Below are 12,003 nucleotides of genomic sequence, written 5' to 3'. Positions count from 1 at the left end.
TTTGGTGGAATGGTATGGAATGGAATGGAATGGAATGGAATGGAATGGAATGGAATGGAATGGAATGGAACAGAATGGTATGGAATCAACCCGAGTGGAATGGTATAGAATGTAATGTAATGGAATGGAACGGAATAAAATGGAATGGAATGGAATGGAAACAACCCGAGTGGAATGGAATGGAATGGAATGGAATAACCGGAGAGGAATGGAATGGAATGGAGTGGAATGGAATGGAATAGAATGGAATGGAATGGAATGGATTAGAATGAAATGGAAAGGAATGGAATGGAAACAAACCGAGTGGAATGGAATGGTATGGAATGGAATGGAATAATATGCAATCAACTTTGGTGGAATGGTATGGAATGGAATGGAATGGAATGGAATGGAATGGAATGGAATGAAAGGGCATGGAATGGAATGGAATCAACCAGAATGGAATGGAGCGGAATGGAGTGGAATGATATGGAATGACATGGAATGGAAGGGAATCAACCCGAAGGGTATGGAATGGAATGGAATGGAATGGAACGGAACGGAACGGAATTGAATGGAATGGAATCAACCCGAGTGGAAAAGGAATGGAAGGGAATGGAATGGAATGGAATAGAATGGAATGGAATAACATGCAATCAACTTTGGTGGAATGGTATGGAATGGAATGGAACGGAATGGAATGGAATGGAATGGAATAAAAGTGCAAGGAATGGAACGGAATCAACCCGAATAGAATAGAAGGGAATGGAGTGGTATGGTATGGAATGGAATGGAATGGAAAGGAATCAACTCGAAGGGAATGGAATGGAATGGAATGGAATGGAATGGAATGGAATGGAATCATCCCGAGTGGAATGCAATGGAATGAAATGGAATGGAATGGAACGGAACAGAGAGGAACGGAACGGAATTGAATTGAATGGAATGAACCCGAGTGGAAAGGAATGGAATGGAATGGAATGGAATGGAATGGAATGGAATGGAATGGAATGGAATGGAGTGGAATGGAATAACATGCAGTCAACTTTGGTGGAATGGTATGGAATGGAATGGAATGGAATGGAATAAAAGGGCATGGAATGGAACAGAGTCAACCCGAATGGAATGGAACAGAATGGAGTGGAATGGTATGGAATGTAATGAAATGGAAAGGAATCAACCCGAAGGGTATGGAATGGAATGGAATGCAATGGAATGGAATGGAATGGAATGGAATGGAATGGAATGGAATGGAATGGAATGGAAAGGAATGGAATCAACCCGAGTGGAATACAATGGAATGAAATGGAATGGAATGGAAAGGAATGGAACGGAATTGAAAGGAATGGAATCAACCCGAGTGGAATGGAATGGAATGGAATGGAATGGAATGGAATGGAATGGAATGGAATGGAATGGAATAACATGCAATCAACTTTGGTAGAATGGTATGGAATGGAATGGAATGGAATGGAATGGAATGGAATGGAATGGAATAGAATGGAATAAAAGGGCATGGAATGGAACCAAATCAACCCGAATGGAATGGAACGGAATGGAGTGGATTGGTATGGAATGGAATGGAATGGAAAGGAATCAATCCGAAGGGAATGGAATGGAATGGAATGGAATGGAATGGAATGGAATGGAATGGAATGGAATGGAATGGAATCAACCCGAGTGGAATGCAATGGAATGAAATGTAATGAAATGGAATGGCACGGAACGGGACAGAACGGAACGGAATTGAATGGAATGGAATCAACCCAAGTGGAAAGGAATGGAACGGAATGGAATGGAATAGCATGCAATCAAATTTGGTGGAATGGTATGGAATGGAATGGAATGGAATGGAATGGAATGGAATGGAATGGAAATGAATCAAATCAAGTGGAATGGAATGGAATGGAAACAATGCAATTCAATGGTATCAACTGGAATGGAATGCATTGGAATGGAATGGAATGGAATGGAATCAACCCGAGTCGAATGGAATGGAATGGAATGCAATGAAATGGAATGGTATGGAATCAACCCTAGTGGAATGGTATGGAATGGAATGGAACGGAACGGAATGGAATGTAATCAACCCGAATGGAATGGAATGGAGTGGAATGGTATGGAATAGAATGGAATGGAAAGGAATCAACCCGAAGGGTATGGAATGGAATGGAATGGAATGGAATGGAATGGAATGGTATGGAATCAACCCGAGTGGAATGCAATGGAATGAAATGCAATGCAATGGAACGGAATGGAACGGAATGGAATGGAACGGAATTGAATGTAATGGAATCAACCCGAGTGGAAAGGAATGGAATGGAATGGAATTGAATGGAATGAAATGGAATGGAATGGAATAACATGCAATCAACTTTGGTGGAATGGTATGGAATGGAATGGAATGGAATGGAATGGAATGGAATGGAATGGAATAAAAGGGCATGGAATGGAACGGAATCAACCCGAATGGAATGGAGCGGAATGGAGTGGAATGATATTTAATGGAATGGAAAGGAATCAACCCGAACGGTATGGAATTGAATGGAATGGAATGGAATGGAAAGGAATGGAATGAACTCGAGTGGAATGCAATGGAATGAAATGGAATGGAATGGAATGGAATGGAACGGAACAGAACGGAATTGAATAGAATGGAATCAACTCGAGTGGAATGGAATGGAATGGAATGGAATGGAATGGAATGGAATGGAATGGAATAACATGCAATCAACTTCGGTGGAATGGTATGGAATGGAATGGAATGGAATGGAATGGAATGGAATGGAATGGAATAACATGCAATCAACTTTGGTGGAATGGTATGGAATGGAATGGAATGGAATGGAATGGAATAAAAGGGCATGGAATGGAACAGAATCAACCCGAATGGAATGGAACGGAATGGAGTGGAATTGTATGGAATGGAATGGAATGGAAACGAATCAACCCGAAGTGTATGGAATGGAATGGAATGGAATGGAATGGAATCAACCCGAGTGGAAAACAATGGAATGAAATGGAATGGAATGGAATGGAATGGAACGGAACGGAACGGAATTGAATGGAATGGAATCAACCCAAGTGGAAAGGAATGGAATGGAATGGAATGGAATGGAATGGAATGGAATGGAATGGAATAGAATGGAATGCTATGGAATGGAATAGCATGCAATCAACTTTGGTGGAATGGTGTGGAATGGAATGGAATGGAATGGAATGGAATGGAATGGAATAAAGGGGCGTGGAATGGAATGGAATCAACCCGAGAGGAATGAAATGGAATGGAATGGAATGGCAATGAATAAAACGGAGTGGAATGGAATGGAATGGAATGGAATGGAATGGATTGGAATGGAATGGAAACAACGCAATGCAATGGTATCAACTGGAATGGAATGCATTGGAATGGAATGGAATGGAATCACCCTGAGTGGAAAGGAATAGAATGGAATGGAATGGAAAGGAATGGAATGGAATGGAAACTAATGGAAAGGAATGGAAACAACCCGAGTGGAATGGAATACAATGGAATGGAATGCAATGCAATGGAATGGAATGCAATGGAATGGAATGCAATGGAATGGAATGGAATGGAATGGAATGGAATGGAATGGAATACAACAAAATGGAAACAACCCGAGTGGAATGGCATGGAATGGAAAGGACTTGAATATAATGGAATGGATTGGAATCAACCCGATTAGAAACTAATGGAATGGAATGGAATGGAATGGAATCTACCCGAGTGGAATGGAATGGAATGGAATTTAATGGAATGGAATGGAATGGAATGGAATGGAATGGAATGGAATGGAATGGAATGGAATGCAGTGGAACGGAATGGAATGGAATATAATGGAATCTACCCGAGTGGAATGGAATGGAATGGAATTTATTGGAGTGGAATGGAATAGATTGGTATGGAATCAACCTGAGTGGAATGGTATAGAACGGAATGTAATGGAACGGAATGGAATGGAATAAAATGGAATCGAATGGAATGGAAACAACCCGAGTGGAATGGAATGCAATGGAATGGAATAACCGGAGAGGAATGGAATGGAATGGAGTGGAATCGAATGGAATAGAATGGAATGGAATGGAATGGAATGGAATGAAATGGAAAGGAATGCAATGGAAACAACCCGAGTGGAATGGAATGGAATGGAATGGAATGGAATGGAATGGAATGGCACGGAAACAATGCAATGCAATGGTATCAACTGGAATGGAATGCATTGGAATGGAATGGAATGGAATCACCCTGAGTGGAAAGGAATGGAATGGAATGGAATGGAAACGAATGGAATGGAATGGAAACTAATGGAACGGAATGGAAACCACCCGAATGGAATGGAATGCAATGGAATGGAATGGAAAGGAATGGAATGGAATGGAATGGAATGGAATGGAATGGAATGGAATGGAATGGAATGGAATGGAATACAACTGAAGGGAAACGACCCGAGTGGAATGGCATGGAATGGAAAGGACTTGAATAGAATGGAATGGATTGGAATCAACCCGATTAGAAACTAACGAAATGGAATGGAATGGAATCTACCCGAGTGGAATGGAATGGAATGGAATTTAATGGAATGGAATGGAATGGAATGGAATGGAATGGAATGGAACGGAACGGAATGGAATGGAATGCAATGGAATGGAATCTACCTGAGTGGAATGGAATGGAATGGAATAAAATGGAATGGAATGGAATGGAAACAACTCGAGTGGAATGGAATGGAATGGAATGGAATAACCAGAGAGGAATGGAATGGAATGGAGTGGAATGGAATGAAATAGAATGGAATGGAATGGAATGGAATGGAATGGAATGGAATGGAATGGAATGGAATGGAATAGAATGAAATGGAAAGGAATGGAATGGAAACAACCCGAGTGGAATGGAATGGAATGGAATGGAATGGAATGGAATGGAATGGAATGGAATGGAATGGAATGGAATAAAAGGGCATGGAATGGAACGGAATCAACCCGAATGGAATGGAGCGGAATGGAGTGGAATGGCATGGAATGGAATGGAATGGAAAGGAATCAACCTGAAGGGTATGGAATGGAATGGAATGGAATGGAATGGAATGGAATGGAATGGAATGGAATGGAATCAACCCGAGTGGAATGCAATGGAATGAAATGGAATGGAATGGAACGGAACGGAACGGAATTGAATGGAATGGAATCAACCCGAGTGGAAAGGAATGGAATGGAATGGAATGGAATAACATGCAATCAATTTTGGTGGAATGGTATGGAATGGAATGGAGTGGAAAGGAATGGAATAAAAGGGCATGGAATGGAATGGAATCAACCCAAATGGAATGGAGCGGAATAGAGTGGAATGGTATGGAATGGAATGGAATGGAAAGGAATCAACCCGAAGGGTATGGAATGGAATGGAATGGAATGGAATGGAATGGAATGGAATGGAAAGGAATGGAATCAACCCGAGTGGAATGCAATGGAATGAAATGGAATGGAATGGAATGGAACGGAACGGAACGGAACGGAATTGAATGGAATGGAATCAACCCGAGTGGAATGGAATGGAATGGAATGGAATGGAATGGAATGGAATGGAATGGAATGGAATGGAAAGGAATGGAATGGAATGGAATGGAATAACATACAATCAACTTTGGTGGAATGGTATGGAATGGAATGGAATGGAATGGAACAAAAGGGCATGGAATGGAACAGAATCAACCCGAATGGAATGGAACGGAATGGAGTGGAATGGTATGGAATGGAATGGAATGGGAAGGAATCAACCCGAAGGGTATGGAATGGAATGGAATGGAATGGAATGGAATGGAATGGAATGGAATAAACCTGAGTGGAATGCAATGGAATGAAATGGAATGGAACAGAATGGAATGGAATGGAACGGAACGGAACGGAATGGAATTGAATGGAATGGAATCAACCCAAGTGGAATGGAATGGAATGGAATGGAATGGAATGGAATGGAATGGAATGGAATGGAATGGAGTGGAATGGAATGGAATGGAATAGAATGGAATGGAATAGCATGCAATCAACTGTGTTGGAATGGTATGGAATGGAATGGAATGGAATGGAATGGAATGGAATGGAGTGGAATGGGATGGAATAAAAGGGCATGGAATGGAATGGAATCAACCCGAGACGAATGGAATGGAATGGAATTGAATGGAATGGAAATGAATCAAACCGAGTGGAATGTAATGTAATGGAATAGAAAGGAATGGAATGGAAACAATGCAATGCAATGGTATCAGCTGGAATGGAATGCATTGGAATGGAATGGAATTGAATCACCCTGAGTGGAAAGGAATGGAATGGAATGGAATGGAATGGAATGGAATGGAATGGAATGGAATCGAAAGGAATGGAATGGAATGGAAACTAATGGAACGGAATGGAAACAACCAGAGTGGAATGGAATGCAATGGAATGGAATGGAATGGAATGGAATGGAATGGAATGGAATGGAATGGAATGGAATGGAATACAACAAAATGGAAACAACCCGAGTGGAATGGCATGGAATGGAAAGGACTTGAATATCATGGAATGGATTGGAATCACCCGATTAGAAACTAATAGAATGGAATGGAATGGAATGGAATGGAATGGAATGGAATGGAATGGAATGGAATACAACAAAATGGAAACAACCCGAGTGGAATGGCATGGAATGGAAAGGACTTGAATATAATGGAATGGATTGGAATCACCCGATTAGAAACTAATGGAATGGAATGGAATGGAATGGAATGGAATGGAATGGAATGGAATGGAATCTACCCAAGTGGAATGGAATGGAATGGAATTTAATGGAATAGAATGGAACGGAATGGAATGGAACAGAATGGTATGGAATCAACCCGAGTGGAATGGTATAGAATGTAATGTAATGGAACGGAACGGAATAAAATGGAATGGAATGGAATGGAAACAACCCGAGTGGAATGGAATGGAATGGAATGGAATAACCGGAGAGGAATGGAATGGAATGGAGTGGAATGGAATGGAATAGAATGGAATGGAATGGAATGGATTAGAATGAAATGGAAAGGAATGGAATGGAAACAAACCGAGTGGAATGGAATGGAATGGAATGGAATGGAATGGAATGGAATGGAATGGAATCAACCCGAGTGGAATGGAATGGAACGGAATATAATGGAATGGAATGGAATCATCCCGAGTGGAATGGAATGGTATGGAAAGCAATAGAATGGAATGGAACAGAACGGAATGAAATGGAATGGAATAGATTGAATGCGAGTGGAATTGAATGGAATGGAATGGATTGGAATGGAATGGAATGGATTGGAGTGGAATGGAATGGAATCAACACGAATGGAATGGAACGGAAAGGAATGGAATGGAAAGGAACGGAATGGAATCAACCCGAGTGGAATGGAATGGAATGGAACAGAATTGAATCCAATGGAATCAACTGGAATGGAATGGAATAGAATCAATCTCGGTTGAATTGAATGTAATGTAATGGAGTGGAATGGAATGGAAAGAAGTGGAATGGAATGGAATGGAATGGAATGGAATGGAATGGAATAGAATGGAATGGAATGGTATAGAATCAACCCGAATGGAATGGAACGGAATGGAATGGAATGGAAAGGAAGAGAATAGAATGGAATCAACCCGAATGGGATGGAATGGAATGGAATGGAATGGAATGGAATGGAATGGAATGGAATGGAATGGAATCAACCGGAGTGGAGTGGAACGGAATGGATTGGAATGGAATGGAATGGAATGGAATGGAATGGAATGAAATGGAAAGGAACGGAATGGAATCAAACCGAGTGGAATGGAATGGAATGGAATGGAATGGAATGGAATGGAATGGAATGGAATGGAATCCACCTGAGTGGAATGGAATTGAACAGAATATAATGGAATTGAAAGGAATCATCCCGAGTGGAATGGAATGGTATCTAATGCAATGGACTGCAATGGAACAGAACGGAATGGAATGGAAAGAATAGATTGAATCCAGGTGGAATTGAATGGAATGGAATGGATTGGAAAGGAATGGAATGGATTGGAATGGAAAGGAATGGATTCAACCCGAGTGGAATGTAATGGATTGGAATGGAGTGGAATGGAATGGAATGGAATCAACACGAAAGGAATGGAACGGAACGGAATGGAATGGAATGGAATGGTATGGATTGGAATGGCATCAACACGAATGGAATGGAACGGAATGGAATAGAATGGAATGAAATGGAATGGAATGGAATGGAATGCAATGGAATGGAATGCAATGGAAAGGAATGGAATGGAATCAACCCAAGTGGAATGGAATGGAATGGAATGGAATGGAATGGAATGGAATGGAAGGGAATCAACACGAGTGGAATGGAATGGAATGGAATGCAATAGAATGGAATGGAATGGAATGGAATGGGATGGAATGGAATGGAATCAACACAAATGGAATGGAATGGAAAGGAATAGAATGGAAAGGAATGGAATGCAATGGAATGGAAAGAAATGGAATAAACCCGAATGGAATGGAATGGAATGGAGTGGAATGGAATAAACACCAGTGGAATGAAATCGAATGGAATGAAATGGAATGGAATGGAATCAACCCGAGTAGAATGTAACAGAATGGAATGGAATGGAATGGAATGGAAAGGAATGGAATCAACTGGAATGGAATGAAATGGAATGGAATGGAGTGGAATGGAATGGAATGCAATGGAATCAACACGAATGGAATGCAATGGAATGGATTGGAATGGAATGGAATGGAATGGAACGGAACGGAATGGAATGGAATGAACCCGAATGCAATGGAACGGAATGCAATGGATTGGAATGGAATGGAATGGAATCAACCAGAGTGCAATGAAATGTAATGGAATGGAGTGGAATGGAATGGAATTGAATGGAATGGAATCAACCCGAATGGAATGGAATGGAATGGAATGGAATGGAATGGAATGGAATGGAATGGAATGGAATGCATTTGAATGGAATGGAACGCAATGGAATCAACTGGAATGGAATGAAATGGAATGGAATGGAAAGGAACTGAATCAACCTGAATGGAATGGAATGGAATGGAATGGAATGGAATGGAATGGAATGGAATCAACTGGAATGGAATGGAATAGAATGGAATCAACCCGAGTGGATTGGAAAAAATGGAATGGAATGGAATGGAATCAAGCCGAGTGGAACGGAATGGAATGGAATGGAAAGGAATGGAATGGAATGGAATCAACCCGAGTGGAAAGGAATGGAATGGAATGGAATGGAATGGAATGGAATGGAACGGAATGGAATGGAATGGAATGGAATGCAATGGAATCAACTGGAATGGAATGGAATGGAATGGAATGGAATGGAATGGAATGGAATGGAACGGAATCAACCTGAGTCAAATGGAATGGAATGGCATGGAATGGAATGGAATGGAATGGAATGGAATAGAATAGAATGGAAAGGTATGGAATGCAATGGAATGGAATTGAATGGAATGGAACGGAACGGAACGGAATGGAATGGAATGGAATGGACCCCAATGGAATTGAATGGAATGGAATGGATTGGAATGGAATGGAACGGAATTAACCTGAGTGGAATGGAATGTAATGGAATGGAGTGGAATGGAATGGAATGGAATGGAGTGGAATGGAATGGAATGGAATGGAGTGGAATGGAATGGAATGGAATGGAATGGAAAGGAATCAACTCGAAGGGAATGGAATGGAATGGAATGGAATGGAATGGAATGGAATGGAATGGAATGGAATGGAATCATCCCGAGTGGAATGCAATGGAATGAAATGGAATGGAATGGAACGGAACAGAAAGGAACGGAACGGAATTGAATGGAATGGAATGAACCCGAGTGGAAAGGAATGGAATGGAATGGAATGGAATGGAATGGAATGGAATGGAATGGAACAACATGCAATCAACTTTGGTGGAATGGTATGGAATGGAATGGAATGGAATGGAATAGAATGGAATAAAAGGGCATGGAAAGAACCAAATCAACCCGAATGGAATGGAACGGAATGGTATGGAATGGAATGGAATGGAAAGGAATTAACCCGAAGGGAATGGAATGGAATGGAATGGAAAGGAATGGAATGGAATTAACCCTAGTGGAATGCAATGGAATGAAATGTAATGAAATGGAATGGAATGGAACGGGACAGAACGGAACGGAATTGAATGGAATGGAATCAACCCAAGTGGAAAGGAATGGAATTGAATGGAATGGAACGGAATGGAATGGAATAGCATGCAATCAACTTTGGTGGAATGGTATGGAATGGAATGGAATGGAATGCAATGGAATGGAAATGAATCAAACCGAGTGGAAAGGAATGGAATTGAATGAAATGGAATGGAATGGAATGGAACGGAATGGAAACAATGCAATTCAATGGTATCAACTGGAATGGAATGGAATTGAATGGAATGGAATGGAATGGAATGGAACGGAATGGAAACAATGCAATTCAATGGTATCAACTGGAATGGAATGCATTGGAATGGAATGGAATGGAATCAACACGAGTGGAATGGAATGGAATGGAATGGAATGGAATGGAATGGAATGGAATGGTATGGAATCAACCCTAGTGGAATGGTATGCAATGGAATGGAACGGAACGGAATGGAATGCAATCAACCCAAATGGAATGGAATAGAATGGAGTGGAATGGTATGGAATGGAATAGAATGGAAAGGAATCAACCTGAAGGGTATGGAATGGAACGGAATGGAATGGAACGGAATGGAATGGAATGGAATGGAATGGAATGGAATGGAATAAAAGGGCATGGAATGGAACGGAATCAACCCGAATGGAATGGAGCGGAATGGAGTGGAATGATATTTAATGGAATGGAAAGGAATCAACCCGAAGGGTATGGAATAGAATGGAATGGAATAGAATGGAAAGGAATGGAATCAACTCGAGTGCAATGCAATGGAATGAAATGGAATGGAATGGAATGGAACGGAACAGAACAGAACGGAATTGAATAGAATGGAATCAAACTGAGTGGAAAGGAATGGAATGGAATGGAATGGAATGGAATGGAATGGAATAACATGCAATCAACTTTTGTGGAATGGTATGGAATGGAATGGAATGGAATGGAATGGAATGGAATGGAATAAAAGGACATGGAATGGAACAGAATCAACCTGAATGGAATGGAACGGAATGGAGTGGAATTGTATGGAATGGAATGGAATGGAAAGGAATCAACCCGAAGTGTATGGAATGGAATGGAATGGAATGGAATGGAATGGAATCAAACCGAGTGGAATGCAATGGAATGAAATGGAATGGAATGGAATGGAATGGAATGGAATGGAATGGAATGGAATGGAACGGAATGGAACGGAACAGAATTGAATGGAATGGAATCAACCCAAGTGGAAAGGAATGGAATGGAATGGAATGGAATGGAATGGAATGGAATGGAATGGAATGGTATGGAATGGAATAGCATGCAATCAACTTTGGTGGAATGTTATGGAATGGAATGGAATGGAATGGAATGGAATGGAATGGAATGGAATGGAATGGAATGGAATAAAGGGGCATGGAATGGAATGGAATCAACCCGAGAGGAATGAAATGGAATGGAATGGAATGGAATGGAATGGAATGGCAATGAATAAAATCGAGTGGAATGAAATGGAATGGAATGGAATGGAATGGAATGGAATGGAATGGATTGGAATGGAATGGAAACAACGCAATGCAATGGTATCAACTGGAATGGAATGCATTGGAATGGAATGGAATGGAATCACCCTGAGTGGAAAGGAATAGAATGGAATGGAACGGAAAGGAATGGAATGGAATGGAAACTAATGGAAAGGAATGGAAACAACCAAGTGGAATGGAATGCAATGGAATGGAATGCAATGGAATGGAATGGAATGGAATACAACAAAATGGAAACAATCCGAGTGGAATGGCATGGAATGGAAAGCACTTGA

The 12,003-nt window shown here is 41.0% G+C and overlaps 16 annotated features.

Moving 5' to 3' along the window:
- Window positions 742-1,437: an enhancer, noted in NCBI's record as "OCT4-NANOG hESC enhancer chr4:49128858-49129553 (GRCh37/hg19 assembly coordinates)". NCBI's record gives its function as "activates a minimal SCP1, AML or CMV promoter by ChIP-STARR-seq in naive H9 embryonic stem cells {active_cell/tissue: H9 hESC(naive)}" and the evidence as "EXISTENCE:reporter gene assay evidence [ECO:0000049][PMID:30033119]".
- Window positions 1,438-2,134: an enhancer, noted in NCBI's record as "OCT4-NANOG hESC enhancer chr4:49128161-49128857 (GRCh37/hg19 assembly coordinates)". NCBI's record gives its function as "activates a minimal SCP1, AML or CMV promoter by ChIP-STARR-seq in naive and primed H9 embryonic stem cells {active_cell/tissue: H9 hESC(naive and primed)}" and the evidence as "EXISTENCE:reporter gene assay evidence [ECO:0000049][PMID:30033119]".
- Window positions 2,135-2,830: an enhancer, noted in NCBI's record as "OCT4-NANOG-H3K27ac-H3K4me1 hESC enhancer chr4:49127465-49128160 (GRCh37/hg19 assembly coordinates)". NCBI's record gives its function as "activates a minimal SCP1, AML or CMV promoter by ChIP-STARR-seq in naive and primed H9 embryonic stem cells {active_cell/tissue: H9 hESC(naive and primed)}" and the evidence as "EXISTENCE:reporter gene assay evidence [ECO:0000049][PMID:30033119]".
- Window positions 2,831-3,528: an enhancer, noted in NCBI's record as "OCT4-NANOG-H3K27ac-H3K4me1 hESC enhancer chr4:49126767-49127464 (GRCh37/hg19 assembly coordinates)". NCBI's record gives its function as "activates a minimal SCP1, AML or CMV promoter by ChIP-STARR-seq in primed H9 embryonic stem cells {active_cell/tissue: H9 hESC(primed)}" and the evidence as "EXISTENCE:reporter gene assay evidence [ECO:0000049][PMID:30033119]".
- Window positions 3,529-4,224: an enhancer, noted in NCBI's record as "OCT4-NANOG-H3K27ac hESC enhancer chr4:49126071-49126766 (GRCh37/hg19 assembly coordinates)". NCBI's record gives its function as "activates a minimal SCP1, AML or CMV promoter by ChIP-STARR-seq in primed H9 embryonic stem cells {active_cell/tissue: H9 hESC(primed)}" and the evidence as "EXISTENCE:reporter gene assay evidence [ECO:0000049][PMID:30033119]".
- Window positions 4,225-4,922: an enhancer, noted in NCBI's record as "OCT4-NANOG-H3K27ac hESC enhancer chr4:49125373-49126070 (GRCh37/hg19 assembly coordinates)". NCBI's record gives its function as "activates a minimal SCP1, AML or CMV promoter by ChIP-STARR-seq in naive and primed H9 embryonic stem cells {active_cell/tissue: H9 hESC(naive and primed)}" and the evidence as "EXISTENCE:reporter gene assay evidence [ECO:0000049][PMID:30033119]".
- Window positions 4,923-5,619: an enhancer, noted in NCBI's record as "OCT4-NANOG-H3K27ac-H3K4me1 hESC enhancer chr4:49124676-49125372 (GRCh37/hg19 assembly coordinates)". NCBI's record gives its function as "activates a minimal SCP1, AML or CMV promoter by ChIP-STARR-seq in naive H9 embryonic stem cells {active_cell/tissue: H9 hESC(naive)}" and the evidence as "EXISTENCE:reporter gene assay evidence [ECO:0000049][PMID:30033119]".
- Window positions 5,620-6,317: an enhancer, noted in NCBI's record as "OCT4-NANOG-H3K27ac-H3K4me1 hESC enhancer chr4:49123978-49124675 (GRCh37/hg19 assembly coordinates)". NCBI's record gives its function as "activates a minimal SCP1, AML or CMV promoter by ChIP-STARR-seq in naive H9 embryonic stem cells {active_cell/tissue: H9 hESC(naive)}" and the evidence as "EXISTENCE:reporter gene assay evidence [ECO:0000049][PMID:30033119]".
- Window positions 6,318-7,013: an enhancer, noted in NCBI's record as "OCT4-NANOG-H3K27ac-H3K4me1 hESC enhancer chr4:49123282-49123977 (GRCh37/hg19 assembly coordinates)". NCBI's record gives its function as "activates a minimal SCP1, AML or CMV promoter by ChIP-STARR-seq in naive H9 embryonic stem cells {active_cell/tissue: H9 hESC(naive)}" and the evidence as "EXISTENCE:reporter gene assay evidence [ECO:0000049][PMID:30033119]".
- Window positions 7,014-7,710: an enhancer, noted in NCBI's record as "OCT4-NANOG-H3K27ac-H3K4me1 hESC enhancer chr4:49122585-49123281 (GRCh37/hg19 assembly coordinates)". NCBI's record gives its function as "activates a minimal SCP1, AML or CMV promoter by ChIP-STARR-seq in naive and primed H9 embryonic stem cells {active_cell/tissue: H9 hESC(naive and primed)}" and the evidence as "EXISTENCE:reporter gene assay evidence [ECO:0000049][PMID:30033119]".
- Window positions 7,711-8,407: an enhancer, noted in NCBI's record as "OCT4-NANOG-H3K27ac-H3K4me1 hESC enhancer chr4:49121888-49122584 (GRCh37/hg19 assembly coordinates)". NCBI's record gives its function as "activates a minimal SCP1, AML or CMV promoter by ChIP-STARR-seq in naive and primed H9 embryonic stem cells {active_cell/tissue: H9 hESC(naive and primed)}" and the evidence as "EXISTENCE:reporter gene assay evidence [ECO:0000049][PMID:30033119]".
- Window positions 8,408-9,105: an enhancer, noted in NCBI's record as "OCT4-NANOG-H3K27ac-H3K4me1 hESC enhancer chr4:49121190-49121887 (GRCh37/hg19 assembly coordinates)". NCBI's record gives its function as "activates a minimal SCP1, AML or CMV promoter by ChIP-STARR-seq in naive and primed H9 embryonic stem cells {active_cell/tissue: H9 hESC(naive and primed)}" and the evidence as "EXISTENCE:reporter gene assay evidence [ECO:0000049][PMID:30033119]".
- Window positions 9,106-9,802: an enhancer, noted in NCBI's record as "OCT4-NANOG-H3K27ac-H3K4me1 hESC enhancer chr4:49120493-49121189 (GRCh37/hg19 assembly coordinates)". NCBI's record gives its function as "activates a minimal SCP1, AML or CMV promoter by ChIP-STARR-seq in naive and primed H9 embryonic stem cells {active_cell/tissue: H9 hESC(naive and primed)}" and the evidence as "EXISTENCE:reporter gene assay evidence [ECO:0000049][PMID:30033119]".
- Window positions 9,803-10,499: an enhancer, noted in NCBI's record as "OCT4-NANOG-H3K27ac-H3K4me1 hESC enhancer chr4:49119796-49120492 (GRCh37/hg19 assembly coordinates)". NCBI's record gives its function as "activates a minimal SCP1, AML or CMV promoter by ChIP-STARR-seq in naive and primed H9 embryonic stem cells {active_cell/tissue: H9 hESC(naive and primed)}" and the evidence as "EXISTENCE:reporter gene assay evidence [ECO:0000049][PMID:30033119]".
- Window positions 10,500-11,196: an enhancer, noted in NCBI's record as "OCT4-NANOG-H3K27ac-H3K4me1 hESC enhancer chr4:49119099-49119795 (GRCh37/hg19 assembly coordinates)". NCBI's record gives its function as "activates a minimal SCP1, AML or CMV promoter by ChIP-STARR-seq in naive H9 embryonic stem cells {active_cell/tissue: H9 hESC(naive)}" and the evidence as "EXISTENCE:reporter gene assay evidence [ECO:0000049][PMID:30033119]".
- Window positions 11,197-11,894: an enhancer, noted in NCBI's record as "OCT4-NANOG-H3K27ac-H3K4me1 hESC enhancer chr4:49118401-49119098 (GRCh37/hg19 assembly coordinates)". NCBI's record gives its function as "activates a minimal SCP1, AML or CMV promoter by ChIP-STARR-seq in primed H9 embryonic stem cells {active_cell/tissue: H9 hESC(primed)}" and the evidence as "EXISTENCE:reporter gene assay evidence [ECO:0000049][PMID:30033119]".

The sequence above is a fragment of the Homo sapiens genome, chromosome 4 (assembly GCF_000001405.40).
Source record: "Homo sapiens chromosome 4, GRCh38.p14 Primary Assembly".
NCBI classification, from domain to species: domain Eukaryota; kingdom Metazoa; phylum Chordata; class Mammalia; order Primates; family Hominidae; genus Homo; species Homo sapiens.
This window is presented reverse-complemented; position numbering and strand designations above follow the sequence as displayed.